The 14,691-nt window shown below is 59.1% G+C and overlaps 1 protein-coding gene and 1 non-coding gene across 3 annotated transcripts in view, besides 2 other annotated features; one reads left to right on the forward strand and one right to left on the reverse strand.

Annotated features, from left to right (window-relative positions):
- Nucleotides 608-927: an enhancer, noted in NCBI's record as "active region_4292". NCBI's record gives its function as "activates an Ori minimal core promoter by ATAC-STARR-seq in GM12878 lymphoblastoid cells {active_cell/tissue: GM12878}" and the evidence as "EXISTENCE:reporter gene assay evidence [ECO:0000049][PMID:35858748]".
- Nucleotides 836-14,691, forward strand: part of LSP1 (lymphocyte specific protein 1) — a 39,180-nt gene continuing 25,324 nt past the window's right edge. The window contains exons 1-2 of one of the 2 annotated variants that reach the window (NM_001242932.2): nt 12,917-13,014; nt 14,217-14,663. In NM_001242932.2, coding sequence (NP_001229861.1) covers nt 14,227-14,663 — 437 coding nt within the window. In that variant the 5' untranslated portion in view covers nt 12,917-13,014; nt 14,217-14,226. Of the gene's footprint in view, nt 950-12,916; nt 13,015-14,216; nt 14,664-14,691 lie in introns of those variants that run through there. The other variant, NM_002339.3, reaches the window with a different exon arrangement.
- Nucleotides 2,778-3,207: an enhancer, noted in NCBI's record as "active region_4293". NCBI's record gives its function as "activates an Ori minimal core promoter by ATAC-STARR-seq in GM12878 lymphoblastoid cells {active_cell/tissue: GM12878}" and the evidence as "EXISTENCE:reporter gene assay evidence [ECO:0000049][PMID:35858748]".
- Nucleotides 7,216-7,288, reverse strand: MIR4298 (microRNA 4298). The gene has a single exon (NR_036185.1). It is a non-coding gene; the product is annotated as a microRNA 4298 (primary transcript).

Genomic DNA, 14,691 nt, shown 5'->3' on the forward strand with positions numbered 1-14,691 from the left:
CCCTCCTCCTGACCCTGGAGCCACTGCGTGGTCACTCCCAGAAGCTGGGGACAGTGAGGGCTGGAAACAGCCTCCATCCCTCCCCTCGGGCTGGCCTATGCCTCTTGGGAGGGTCCCTGAGGCACTGCCTTTAGAGCCTGGGGACACGAACCACTCGGTGGTCAACTCCAGCGACCAGAGCACGGAGAGCAAGGGGCAGCGGGGGGACGAGGCGGATGCCCGACAGCTCGGCATCAGCAAGGCAGTCCAAGACAGAACAAGGCACCCGACGGGTAGAACGCAGGGGCATCCCGGGCACAGCCCCCAAAGCCACCTGGGACCCACAGCTGTTTGATGTGCTCAAGGCTATGACCCCAGGCTTCGAGAAAAGACTCCACCAAGTTCCATGAGCACCTGTAGGAGAGCCGGCCTCTGGGTAGATTTCACCCAAAGAAGCTAAAACGCTCACGTGGTGCTTATGGGATCACAGACGTGTTTGTCCCTGATGCTGCAGGAGAACTGGCCACTCACAGGTGGACCTGATGGCCAGAGCTACTAGCGGGGACCAGGGGTAACATGGGTCCCCCTCCCCGAGCCATGAAGAGCTGCCTGCGGCCATCTTGGCCCTCGCACCCCGTCTCTGTCACCCCAGGCCCCTGTAACTTGCTTAACGCTTCCTGAGGGGTGGTTTGGGTTTTTTTTTTTTTCTTCCTCTCCTCTTGTAGCAACAGATTAAAAAACAACACCCTGACCCAAGCCGAGACAGGTTCCAAACCTCAACCTGCAGCCGGAAGGGGGAAGTGAAACTCGGCTGGGGGTGGGGGCTCAGAAGCCGCCCCAGAAAGCACTGAAAGCCACAGCACGTACACCCACTCCAGGGATCTGCCAGCACCCTGTGGGGCCCAGACTACAGGCTGATGGCGGAGGCTTCGAGTGACCCGGGTGCCGAGGAGCGGGAAGAGTTGCTGGGGTAAGGGTCTGCGGCGACGCCCGGCGCCCTGTGCCGTGTCCACGGGTGCATAGTCCTTGAGCTGCATGGAGGGTGGAGAACTGAGGTGCCTGATGGGGAATCTGGGGCCCCCAATGGGAGAACTTGGATGTCCGATGGGGAAACTGGGGACCCACAGACAGGTGGCAGGAAGTCTTGCTGGGACCCCCCTCTCACAACAAGGGTGGAGGTCTCTTCCGCCTGCCTCTGTGCCCTGGACTCACTGGGGGAGGCGCGTGGGATCCTAAGCCCATGGTGGATGCCTGAAGCGAGGAGACCCCAAGACGTGTCCTGGACTGCCAGGGAGGAGCTGGGGACTGTGGGCCCTGTTAGCTTGGGAAGAGGCAAGGTGGGGGCTGGGGAGCAGCTGTTCTGGGATGGGTGGAACTGGCCCGGGCCTGGCCACCTGCCCACAGGACTATCTGAGAGGGGCTATCCTGCCTTGAGGGTCTGGAGGCCGCCAGGCTTGGGGCCCAGCAGGCCTCAGGGCAGGGCACCCAAAGCTGCCCTTGACCTGCGGTAAAGGACAAGGCCAAGGATTCTGGCAGGTGCCTGTGCTGGGTGCCAGGCACCGTGTGTTGGTTGGAGTGGGGACATGAGGGGGCATGGCAGAGGTTGTGTGTAGGACTGCCAGAGCTGGGCAGAAAAACCCCGCTGCCAAAGGCCTCCTAGCGGGCAGCTGTACTCTGTGGTACCAATGGGCATCCAGCCCTGTGCTGGGGTGGGTGGAGAGGGCTAGCGGCTTAGTAACTGGGCTCCCTGGCAGAGGGGAGCTGCCGGCCAGCAGGCATCCAGGCATCACAGCTGAGCCTCGCCAGGGGAACCCGAGTTGCCCCCGGTGCAGGTCCCAGAAGAGATGGGAGGGCTCAGGGCGTGCGGTGCAGGGACAGGTAGGGCTTTGAGGGGCAGAGGGGCGACGTGCTAATGGTCAGGGGATGGGGATCCGGTGCTGGGGATAGAGGCCGGCCTAGGAGCAGGTCAGCGGGGGCTGTGGCCTGGTGTGCGGAAGGGAAGGCGCTGGGGCCCAGGTTGCAGAAAGAGTGTGATGCCCGCAGCCACACAGGACGGACCTGAGAGGAGGCCCAGGGTGACGCTCACATACCCCAAAACTGCAGCCAGGGCTGCTACCAGTCTCTGCCTTGGTGCTGACAGCAGAGGGTCCCGGTCTACCCGACCCGGGGCGGTGCAGGGACCACCTCCCGGCCTTCACACAAAGCTCCTGTGCTGTTGGTGGCTGCAGTCACTGTCCTGTGTCTGTGTCCTTGGTGGCCGTCACATTGCTGTGGGTCTGGTATGTGTGAGGGGTCTGCATCTCTGACTTCTTGCTGCCAAATCCCACTTGGGTACAGGTGCGGGGGGCCACTGAAGGGACCCCGAGTGCCGTGAGTGGAGTGGAGGCTAAGCAGAGGCCGGGGCTGGCTGAGGGCTGGGTCGGGACGTCCGTGCCTGTCCCCAGGGAGAGGTGGGAGGATGCCCTGCCCAGGCCGTGTGCAGGGAGACAGGCTTCTGGGTGCACAACAGCTGTGTCCCAGCTGCAAAACGGGCCCTCCTGTCAGCACCACCCCCAGCCCTGGACTAGGTGCTGCTCCTGGTCACCTCATGCCCATAGAAGGGCAGGACATGAGCCTCTGGGCTGGGGCACCCCCGCCTTCCTCCTTGGCCTCATCCTTGGCCACCCCCTCCCAGCTGTCTCAAATGCCCTGGATCCCCCGGGCCAGGAGCGGGGAGGGGGGGTTGGAGCGGGCATGGCCAAGGCACAGATGATCCTGGGGCATCTTGGTGCAGATCCTGGGAGGCCAGGGCTGCACCTGTGCCGGGGCTGTCAGGCGCTCCAGCTGGAGAGCGGCGGTTCTCCTGGGCTCTGCAAAGCCTGGACCCCCTCCTTGGACATCCCCTGCCCCCGCGAATTGCATGGGGTGCGCAGCCAAGCCTGACCTTTCAGAATGAAACTGAGAGCCCCAGTGGGGTAGGCTTCTCATTTCACAAGGTGACTAAGGGAACCGGGGAGTTTCCTGTCTAGGATGGGACAGAAGTCCCCTGCACCCAGGCAGGGATGTATGGCCTGGGAAGCCCCCACACGGGAGTCCCCAGGAAGGCCCAGGCTGGGCAGGCTCAGCTGGGGCTGGAGCAGTGGACAAGACAGCCCCCCGTGCATGTCACAGAGTGCCAGGTACGCCAGCCTGTGACGGTCTCAGGACATGCCCTCAACACTAGGTCCAGGGCAGGCCAAGCCCCTCCAGCTGGACAAGTGGGTCCAGCCCCTCAGACTGTCGCATGATGTGGCCCCTCCCCTCAGACTGCCCGGGACGGGGCCAGATTCCTCAGAACCACCCCTCCATGATGTGGTCTCTCAGATGCCCCCAGGACAGGACTGTCCTCTCCCACGAGGCCTCAGGCCAAAGAAGGTCCCCTGACCCTGGGCGGGGTCCAGGCTCCGCTTCGGCTACCAGCCAGGCTGGACTGCGGTTCCTCCACTCGGGGGCACTCCTGTCTCGCCCCGCTGTCCAGCAGACAGTCACTAGCTTGTCCTTGTCCCTTGGGGGCAGGGACGAGGATTTCACAGAGCTGCCTTGTGGCTCTGGGGGGACTCTCTGGTGACGCTGGGGGATGCCTGCCCTCTATAGCCCCCAAGAGCAAGGCTCTCCCCACACTGAGGAACTATCTGGCCTTGGAGGCCTTGAGGCGATGAGGACGGGGCGTCCTGGTCCACAGCTGGGGAGGGTCAGGTTGCCCTCTCAGACCTTGGGTTCGACATATCCAGATGTTGGAGCCCAGCTCTGCAGGGGTGTACCCTCCCTGGGGTCACACTGCATTTTTGGCTGCAGTGCCTGTCCTTGGCCCAGCTGCCCGGGGGTGCCCACCCGCCCAGGCGTGCCCACCCCATGTCCACACCTAGAAGGCAAGTCTGCCTGCCGCCACCCTGTCCCACAGACACCCTGGCTGCCCTCTCAGTCTGCCCCTGTGTAGCCCAGGCCCCCATCAGGATGACCCTACCCCCAGTCTGTTCCCCATGAGCGACCAGGCCGTGTCTCCCACGGAAAGAACCATTCACCAGCTACAGGCAAACTCCATGCCCCTGGGTGGCCATGCCAGGCCCTCCTGGCCTGGTTGAACTCACTTCCCATCCCACCAGCTTTCCCAGCTCTTCCCAGTTTTGGAAGGTGTCAGAGCCCTGGCACATGCCCCTCCTAGCATCACCCAACCGCCCTGCTCCTCTGCAGACCTTCAAAGGCCTGCCCAGCCCGCGGTGGGAGGCCGCTGCCCAGGGCTCTGGCAGCACCTGCCATGGACAGGGCCAGTCCTGGAGCCCCGCCTGGCCCATCGGAGCCTCCCTCGCTTCTCTGTGTGCTGAGCTGAGTTGGGAAGGGCAGGGATGACCTGAGGGGCTGCTCTGGCAGGGTTCCTTCTGGCCATCTGTCCCTGGAGACCCTCAGAGCTCCAGATTCTGAAGGAGGAAGGGGCTGGAGGCCCCCGGCAGCCCCCTGGAAGTCTTCATCTGAGCAGCAGGAGCCCATGGGATGGAACCCCCCAGGCAGCCAGGCCCTTGGGCAGCCCTCCCGCCCACCTGCCCTCCGAGCCAAGGCCAGGCACCACCTGGAGGATGTGCAATGCTCCACGCTGGGGCAGGTGGCCCTGAGAGCCCCCAGCGGTGCCCACGACTGCTCAGGAAAGAGGGCAGAGCTGGGGACAGTTGGGGAAGCCACCTCAGCCCCAGCCCTAGCCCCACAGGGGCTGCTGAGGGAGGTTAGGATTGAGGGCTAAGCCCTGGGGCTCCCTCCCTACACCTTCCTGTGGTCAAGACCTGATGTCTGGACCCAGGATCCCTGGGGAGGTCCCCTTCCTCCTGCCCTGGGTAAGGGGTCTGAGGCATCTGGAAGTTTCCCAGGGAAGCAGAAGGATGTCTTCTTCCTCGTGGGCTGGCAGGCGCTGCTGTCCACCGACACCCAGCTGGGCTGGTCGCACAAGTGGGAGCATCACAGGCCCCACCCCCGCTGATTCTGGAAGCCAGAATCCTTTCTTCCTGCGCCCCCTTCCTGGTTCCCTCGTGTCTCCTAAAACAATCCTGGAGCCACACAAGGGCAGTGCCAGGAGGGTCTGGGGTCCAGCTGGGACAGGCCCTGGCCGGTGACACCCTGGGGTGGCAGGATGGTGGGCCTCTGCTCCGCTACCCTACGGGCCAGCCTGTCTCCACCTCAGTTCCCTGAGAACGTGCCAGAGGGATGGGTGAGCCCTAGAGAAGAGGAGGGTGTTGGCAGTGGAAAGGGCCCAGTGGTCTCCCGCTCTGAGTCCTCAGCCTGGTGAGGGGTGGGGGCGTGAGCTCTGCCTTGCAGTCCCAGCCCCTGAGATCCCACTGCTGGGGCGGCGGGAGGGGGATGGGCTGCAAGGCCCCAGGGCTGGCCTTGCTTCGGCTGCTATAGGCCCTCGGAGTGCTTTCTGGATGAGTAAGCCGCACCCCTCTGAAGCCTCAGTTTCCCCATCTGCACACTCAGAATGTAGCCACTCAGACCAAGCGTTCACTCCATGCCAGTCTTTGCCAAGCTATTTATTTATTTATTTGAGACAGAGTCTCGCTCTGTTGCCCAGACTGTAGTGCAGTGACACAATCTCGGCTCACTGGAACCTCCGCCCTCCAGGTTCAAGAGATTCTCCCACCTCAGCCTCCTGAGTAGCTGGGATTACAGGCACCTGCCACTGCCCCCGGCTAATTTTTGTATTTTTAGTAGAGAAGAGGCTTTCACCATGTTGGCCAGGCTGGTCTTGAACTCCTGACCTCAGGTGATCCACCCGCCCCAGCCTCCCAAAGTCCTGGGATTACAAGCATGAACCACCGCGCCCTGCCTTTGCCAAGCTTTTTAAACCAAGGCTCTTGTTTCATCCCCCGGAGCTGTGAGGCAGGTCCCTGGAGCCTCCCATTTCACAGACGGAAACCGAGGCTCACAGGGGCCAAGTGCATTGTCCAAGGGCTGCTCCCTGCCTGGGGAGGGGCCTGAGTCCTTGCCCCTGTGGGGTTCGGGTGCTGAGGGCCCACAAGACCTGCGGGCACCAGGAGGGAGCTGGGCTGGGCTGCCCTTCCCGGGGTCTCTCTGACCCCACACCACACACCAGCCACTCTGGACTCAAAGGCTCCCAAGAGCACCAGAGCACTGCTCATGGCCCAAGCTCAGCAAGCACTTAAAGGGACCGTCCCGAAAAGCGGAACTGGGACCGGGCGCTGCAGGACCAGCAAGGTCCTCCACTTCCCTCCAGCCCAGCCCCGCCCAAATCCCAGCCCTCAGCATCTTTTTGGGGGCCACTAAAGACCTTCTGGGAGATGGCAGCCCAGGACCATAAGGCAATCGAAGAGGGCTTTCCACATGCGCTGAGGCAGACAGAACCAGGCCCTGGCTGTGGACGAGGCTGTATTGATACTTAGAAGAGAGGGAAGCGAGCGGGCTGGAGAGGCTCGGCCAGGGGGCAGCCCAGCAGGGCCCCTTCCCCAGGGTTAGACTCTCTACAGCCGGCCCAGCCCCCATCCCCTCCCCAACATCTAGGGACCTGAAAAGAGGTTGGAGGGGCTGCATGGGGGTGGGGTTGATAGGAGATTAGGGGATTGAGAAAGCCAGGCCTCCTAGCCGTGTCCCACCCAGCACGGCCCCACCAGTGCCAGACACAGGCAGACAAGGGAGGAGGGAGATGCTGAGCAGGGGTGGCAGGAGGAAAGCCCCTGGCCCTTTCTTGGGGCCAGGCAAGTCCTATCCTAACTCCATCTGCTAACTGCCTCCAAGCTGCTTGTGGGTTGTCGGGGAAGGGAGTTTGTGGCAGGGAGGGCCTCTGAGTCCCCTGTATCCCCCGGCAGGAGGAGGCAGGCACATGGGCCCCTGACCTCAGTGCTTGGAGCAGGGCCGCTCTGGTGGGGCATTTGTAGGTCACAGCATGAAGGGTTCCAGCATACTTCCTGGGTTCCCAGTTTCCCTGGGAGCAGTGGTATAGACGCAGGGGCCTCTACACACACCACACGCTCAGGGAGAGTGGCTGAGGTGTCCAGGATACTCTGTCCACTGGGGCAGGGGGTGGCTTCTAAGCCCAGTACCCTTCCCAGAGTCCCCAGTCTCCAGCTGCTCATGGGCTGCAGATGAGGATTCAAGGTTATGCAGGGGTCACTCTCCTGCTCCATCCCTGGCAGGTGGGACCTCACCTACTGCTTCTTTCTGCTCCAGAGAAGAGCACGTCCCCCTCATCTCAAAAGTGCCTGTGCTCCTCCTTCCTGAGTGGAACCTACACTTTTGACAGTTTGGTTTCTGAGGCAAGGCTGCCTCCTCCTCCTGTCCCAGGTACCTCCCCTCAGAAAAGCAATGGGACTTGGGATAGAAGGATCTAGCCAATTCGTTCCAGATGAATCTAGAAATAATCCTTTAGCCTTTCTCTTAGACCCAGTCCCAACCAAAATCTGAGCTTCATCACCACCACCCAGCACCCACCATTCACCACCCAGCCTCCAGCCCCCAGCCCCCAGCCCCCAGCCCCCAGCACCCATGACCCACCACCCTGCCCCCTACCCGTGGCTCTGGCCCATTCTCCTGCTGTCAGCAGTGCCTGCTTGAACAGAGGGCCACACTGAACAGATGCATGCTGCAAGCATTTGGAGGCTGCCTCCTCTTTAAATCACAGACATTTATCCACCAGGGATCACTCGGGAGCCAATGAGGCCACCACCCTGACCTCCCCTGTCCCCATGGGCTCTCTCAGTGCTCAAAGCACCTTTCACTGGGATGCTGCTCTGTGAACATACATTCGCAGGTATGTGTCGGGGATGATGAGAATGTGTCAATATGAAGACAGATCCCTGCCCCTGTAGCCCCTGCTTAGGCTCTATTGAGGTGTTCAGCCTCCTGGGCCATGGTGGTCTGCTTTATCCTTGGGCCATGAGCTTATGAACCATGTCTTAGTTGCATAAGAAAGGAAAAATAAAGATTAGAAAAGAATCAATTATGGAGAACAGTATGAATGAATGGAAAGATGAATGAAGAATGATAGGAAGTAGGAACAAATGGATGGATGGATGGATGGATAATTGAATGATGGATGGATGGATAATTGAATGATGGATGGATGGGTGGATGGATGGAGGGATGAGTGGATGGATAGGTGCATGGATCGATGGACAGGTGGGTGAATGGATGGGCAGATGGATGGGGTGGATGAATGAATGGGTTGGATGGACTCATGTATAAATAGAGTATAACTCATGCATAAATAGAAAGAATTATTTAGTAATTGATGAATGGATGAACAAATGAGCAGATGAACAAAAAATAGATGGATGGACAGAAGAACATCTGTATGTATATATGGATGTTTGGATGAAAGAACGAATGGATGGGTGGATAGATAAATGCAGATGTGATATTTAGAATATTTAACAAAGCATGTGGTACAAATATGAATCTACTGGAATGGGTGCTGATTATATATATTCCTATATTGAACTGTGTTGTACCTGTGCATATTGGCTGATCATCAGCCCAACAGCTAAATGAGCAAATGTACCAAAACAAAAGATGAGTGGATTTATGGATGAATGGATGATGGATGAATGGGTGTATAAATGGGTAAATGAATGTATTGATGGAAGGACACATGAGATGGAATTATGTATGGGTGGATGATTGGATGGCTGGAATATGGACATATAAATGATTGGAAAGATTAATAGAAGGATGTCAGGAGAAGTAGACATATGGATGGATATGGATAATAGATGAATAGATGGATACGTGGGTGGATATAACAAGAGATGAGTAGAAAGATAGATAGATAATGAATCAATAGACAATTGAATCCGTGCTGAGTAAACTATTAGAAAGACGGATGTGTGAGTAGACACTACTAAATCAGGAATTTTGCACTCTCTTCCAGGAACACTTCCTCCCATTTCTCTCATCTCTTTTCAAATAAGAAAAGAATTACTTCTTTCCATGAGGCTTTCATATATAAAGACCCAAGGAAAGAATTACTTATTTCCATGAGGCTATCATACGTAAAATATCAATCCCCTCCAGAACTCCATATGCCTTTACCCTGATTTATATTTTCTGTCATATTTTCCATCATCTGACCTTTATTTATTTATGTGTTTGTTCCCACACTTGAAACATGATCATCATAAGAGCAGGGACTTTGTTAATGCTGAATCCCCAGCACCTTCAAAGTGTCTGAATTCAGTACAGATTTATTGAATAAATATATGGAAGGATGGAGAGACAGATGGATAGACAGATGGATGAATGAATGGATGGATGGATAGATGGGTGGATGGATGGATGGGTGGATGGATAGATGCATGGATGAATGGATGGATAGATGGATAATGGATAGATAAATAGATGAATGGTTGGATGGATGGATGAATGGATGGGTAAATGGATGGATGGATAGGTGAATAGATGGATAAGTGAATGGATGGATGGATGGATAGATGGGTGGATGGGTGGATGGGTGGGTGGATGGATGGATGGATGGATGGATGGATGGATGGATGGATGGATTGGTGGATGAGTGGATGAGTGGATGGGTGGATGGATGGATGGGTGGATGGATAGATGGATGGATGAATAGATGGATGGGTGAATGGATGGATGGATGGATGGATTGATGAGTGGATGGATGGATGGGTGGATGGATAGATGGATGAATAGATGGATGGGTGAACGGATGGATGGATGGATGGATGGATGGATTGATGAGTGGATGGATGGGTGGATGGATAGATGGATGGATGAATAGATGGATGGGTGAATGGATGGGTGGATGGATGGATGAGTGGATGGATGGATGGATGAATGGATGGATGAATGGATGGATGAGTGGATGGGTGGATGGACGGATGCATGGATGAGTGGATAAATGGATGGATGAATAGATGGGTGGGTGGATGGGTAAAATGGATGGATGAACTGATGGATGAATGGAGAGATGGACAGAGAGATGGATGGATGAGTAGATGGATGGATGAGTGGGTGAATGGATGAGCGCACACATAACAGTGGAGTTGACATCAAATACTCTCCCATATTGTCCCTCACAGGACATGCTCTAGTTGTAAAACCATGAATCTTGGCCGCTACATGTAAATATCTGTTCTTGTCACTTCCCATCCATCAGCATTTCTGACAGATGATCATTCTCTAGTGACAGGGAAGTCCTGCCATTCCAAGGTAGCTCTTTTCCCTGTGGGAATATTCTTCCTTCTTTTGAACTAAAATATGCCTTGGCCACATTTCATTCCTGGCTGTCTGTGGCTGGGACTCCTCCAGAAGTTAAAACAGGAGGCAAGGAGGAAATAGGCAGGTTGAGGTGCAAATGAAGCACATGCTCACTGCCCCCCACCCCAGGTAATCTCACCTTACCTGGGTGATCTGTCCTCCCTGAGTGATCTCAGTTTCTCTGTGTGATCTTCCCTACCCCTGGTAATCTCACCTCCCCTGAGTGATTTAGCTTTCCCTGGGTGATCTCACCTCCCCTGGGTGACCTCACCTCCCCTGGGTGACCTTACCTCCCCTAGGTAATCTCGCCTCCCCTGGGTGATCTCACCTCCCCTGGGTGATCTCACCTCCCCCAGGTAATCTTGCCTCCTCTGGGTGACCTCCCCTCCCCTGGGTGAGCTCACTAAACATTTGTCCAACCTGAGGTCCAGCCCTGGCTACCATCCCTCCTGCTTACTCCAGAATCCTGTGGTCTCTGCAGCTTTGTGGATGCTGGGGATGTGGGGCCAACACCATGGTCTCTAGTGGACATTCCCTGCTTCCTCCTGGGTTGTGCCGGGGGAGGGGAGATGCTGTGGGCTCCTCTCTCCAGGACTGGCCCTGGGACCCAGTCTGGTGTGTATGTAGGGAGTGGGGACGGACTTCCTGACTCCCGCAGTCTCCATGGGGTAGCCCACCACCTGAGTCACCACAGCCCGGTCTATGGTCCCATGTGGAATTTTCCGACTGTTGCCGCCACCCCCGGCGTGCTGCCCTCCGCGGTGATTCACCCGCTTGCCCGTCTGCTCACAGCCTCACCCTTGCTTCCCTCAGTGTTCCCAAGGTGCTGCGCAACCCCAACTCCCTGGCCTGGCCAGGGTCATGATAGCTGGGGAGGCAAGAGGTGGCTGTTCTCCTTGAATGTAGGGACAGAGGGTGGCATGGGCAGATGAGTGCCCGTGCACAGATGGTGGCCCAGGACTAATTGGGTGGCCAGCGGCCGGCAGATCTGGCTCTGGTTCTGGCTGTGCCAGGCCCTCACTCTGTGACCTTGGATGCCAGTGCTGCTGGCTGGACCTTGGTTTCTCCATCCTGGACATGGGTACATGGTGGTTCTGAGTGCCAGCGAGCTGGGCAAACCGCCGGATGTGAGACTGCCGTCGCGGAGCTGACCCTCGGTGAGCCCTGAACATGCGTCCCATCCCACCCCTCGTCCGTCCGGCCACTAGCCCCGAGTGTTCTCCAGTGAGTCACAGCAGCCAAGCCCAACCAGAGGAACAGAGGGCTGGGCTGCTCCTCCCTGGGCCAGGGCCAGAGGACGCGGGCAAGGGGGGCCTGGCTGGCGAGGGCACCAGGCCCACTTTGTGCCCACTGGCCACCTCTTGGGACCATGCTGTGCCAATACCAAACCGAAGATGCTGCGTTGGTGGCGTCTCTGCCTCTTGGGTCAACTCTGCAGTCTGGCTGGGGGGTTGGGCCCACCAGGAAAGGCAGCAGCCTCCCCATTTGGGGAACAGAGAGGGTTCTTGGGGTGCCAAGCCTTCTCTGGAGGTGACAACAAGAGCAGAGGCCGGGAATGAACAAAGGGAAAGTGGAGAACCAGGAGCGGGGGAGAGGGGAGGAGGGGAGAGGAAGGGAGGGGAGGGGAAGGGAGGGAGGAGGGAAGGAGGGAGGGAGACAGAGATAGGGACAGAGACACCAGAGGGAAAGGAGAGAGGAGAGAGGGGCTGAGTGCGAGACGGGGAAGGAGGGGACGGGACAAAGAGGAACCAGCGAAGGGTCCAGGCCTGCGATGATGGTGAGGGAGGTGGCAGGTTGACGAGGGGCTGGACAAGAACGGCCGACGAAGGAGAAGAACAGAGGAGGGCCCGGGCAGGGCCTGGCAGAGGGCATGAGGCACTCCGAGGTGGGAGGCGGCGATGGGCAGAATAGGCCCCTGTGCCTGGGGCAGGGGCACCACAGAGGGCTAGGGGAGACCGAGAAGCGGGCAGCGGCTACCAAGGTGGCCTGAGGGCAGAGGCGGAGGGAGGAAGGGAAAGAGGAAGGGAGGGAGGGAGGGAAGGAGGCAGCCACGCTGCCCATCAGCGCGCCACAGAGGTCTGGCTGAGCCCCACGCTGCTGGGCTGGGAGAGTTTTCGCTCTGACATTTTTACTCTTCTCGGAAGGAGGAGGAGGTGGAGGTGGAAGAGATGGAGGCGGGAGGAGAAGGGGGCTGGGGGAAACAAAAGAGAAGCAGCTGCTGAGAGTCCTGAAGTAGGAGAGGGGAAAGGGAGACCCACAGTCAGGGAGACCCACAGGGATGGGGACACAGGGACCAGGCTGCCTGCAGGGAGCCGGCCTGCAGACCCTCGTGCCAGGAGCCGAAGGGAGGGACCAGGCTGCCCACAGACCCCTGTGCCAGGTGCCAGAGGGAGGGACCAGGCTGCCCAAGGGAGCCGGCCCACAGACTCCTGTGCCAGGGGCCAGAGGGGCCAAGACAGGCAGGCAGAGGGTCACAGGGACAAGGAGAACACCAGACAGAGAGAAGGGACAGGGGAGGGGTGACAGCCAGCGAGAGACCGAGGGCCAGGGCAGAGCGCCAAGGAAGTGCAGGAGTGAGAGGGGCCAGGAGAGGCAGGAAAGCCAAGGAGAGCTGGGCACAGGGGGGCAGGGGTGCGGGAGGAGGGCAGCAGAGAGGAGGGCCAGCAGGACAGGAGCCTTTGAGATGCTGCTCTATCCCCGGGGCTGGGGTCAGGCCAGGTCGCCGCCTGAGCAGAGGCTGCAGCCTGGGCAGTCCCGGGCTTCTGAGGAGGAACTCTAGCAGACAGGGCCTGGATACCTCTTGAGGTAGGTCCCTCCTGCCCTGGCTGGGCATGGAGGGCAGGGCAGGGTGCCCATGCTGGGCTGCCACATGCACCGGGCCACTGGGCCTCCCCCCAGCTTCGGTAGGCTCTGCTGCCCCAAGCGTGGGCAGCGAGAGGGTGCCAGGCTGGTTGCGTGTACATGTGTGAGTGCGGAGGCTGCTTGAGGCCTCTCTTCCTCCTGGCTCCTGGCAGCTGCCCATGCATTCTCCTTCCCCATCCCACCTGCACTGCCGGCTGCGCTGTCGCCTGCTCACACCGTCCCACCCGCACCGCCGGCTGCACTGTCACCCGCTCACACCGTCCCACCTGCACCGCCGGCTGCACTGTCACCCATTCACACCATCCCACCTGCACCACCGACTGCACTGTCACCCGCTCACGCCGTCCCACCTGCACCGCCGGCTGCACTGTCACCTGCTCACACCTCTCCCCGAGCCCCAGGGATTCTGCTTGACTCTGAGCCCCCAAAATGAAGGGCCCATCCTCTGGGTGGCTTCTGGGGCCTCCCGTGGGGTCCTTCGGATCCTGGGCACCCTTCAGTCACCCTCACTTCACAGATCATGAAACTGAACTTTGGGCTGAGCTTACCGGCCCTGGCTGCAGCCACCAACCCTGAGTGGGAGGCTCCTCAGGGCCAGGGAAGGTGCCCGGGCCTTGTCCACCTGCAGGTGTTGGGCCAGTGTGGTGCCCTCTCCCAGCCTGTTTCTTCCTCTGTAAAGTAGTGGTGTGGCCCTTCATGGGGTCAGGTGGGAGAGCAGAGTTTGGAGGGCCCAAGGCTCCTCAAGACCCAGCCTGGGCAGTCTCAGAGATATCCCTCTGCACCGTCAGCCACTCTGAGCCGCCTGTAGTGCCCTTTCTCCTCCTCAACCCTTCCAGGCTTTTAAGCCAAACTGAAACACCACCTCCTGCTTGAAGGCTGCCTTGCTTCTTCCTAACCTGGAGGGCTGTCCTGCTCTGACTTCCTTTGATGGCATGGAGCATGCTGGCCGGACCTCGAGCTACTGGAAGGCAGGGCTGGCATCGGTCGGCTTGCCACTGCCCACCCAGGCCAGGCACTCAGTGCTGAGACTCTGAGAGGCCAGAGAGCCAGGGATGCCCATGGGGGTGAGCTAAGTGGGGTCTGAGGAGTTGAGGGCAGCCCGGCTCACCCCTCCTCCCCAGCTCCCACTTGTTGGGTCCGTGCAGATGCAGAGAGATGGCTCCGATCTGGTCCCCACCTGGCAGGGTCTCCGGCTGTCACCTGAGTTCAGGACCAGCACCAGGATCTGCAGTGGGCCCCTGGCTGGGCACACCTCATCCCAGCCTCCCCCTACCCCTGGCCCCCCATAAGCCTCCTCCTCCTGGGCTTCCAGGCTCTGCTGGTCAGACCTCCCTCCCTGCCCAACGGGAATGTGTTTTCCCAGGGGACGCTGCTGTCCACCAGGAGCTCTGTGGCCTGGGATTTGAGGAGTGCCTGGGGTCAATCCCCCAGGCTCACCAGTGCTACTTAACAAATGGGCCCAAGAGAAGGAAGTGCAGCCCCCGGAGGAGGGGCAGAGCCCCTGCCTGGCTGTGCGGTGGCTCACCCCCTTGTCACCAGGGGCTCGGCCATGAGCATCCGTCCAGCGGGCCCAGCACCAACTGCAGCCCCAGGTGAGCAAGCCGCACTCAGGAGGCACTG

Source organism: Homo sapiens, chromosome 11 (assembly GCF_000001405.40).
Source record: "Homo sapiens chromosome 11, GRCh38.p14 Primary Assembly".
Taxonomy (NCBI): domain Eukaryota; kingdom Metazoa; phylum Chordata; class Mammalia; order Primates; family Hominidae; genus Homo; species Homo sapiens.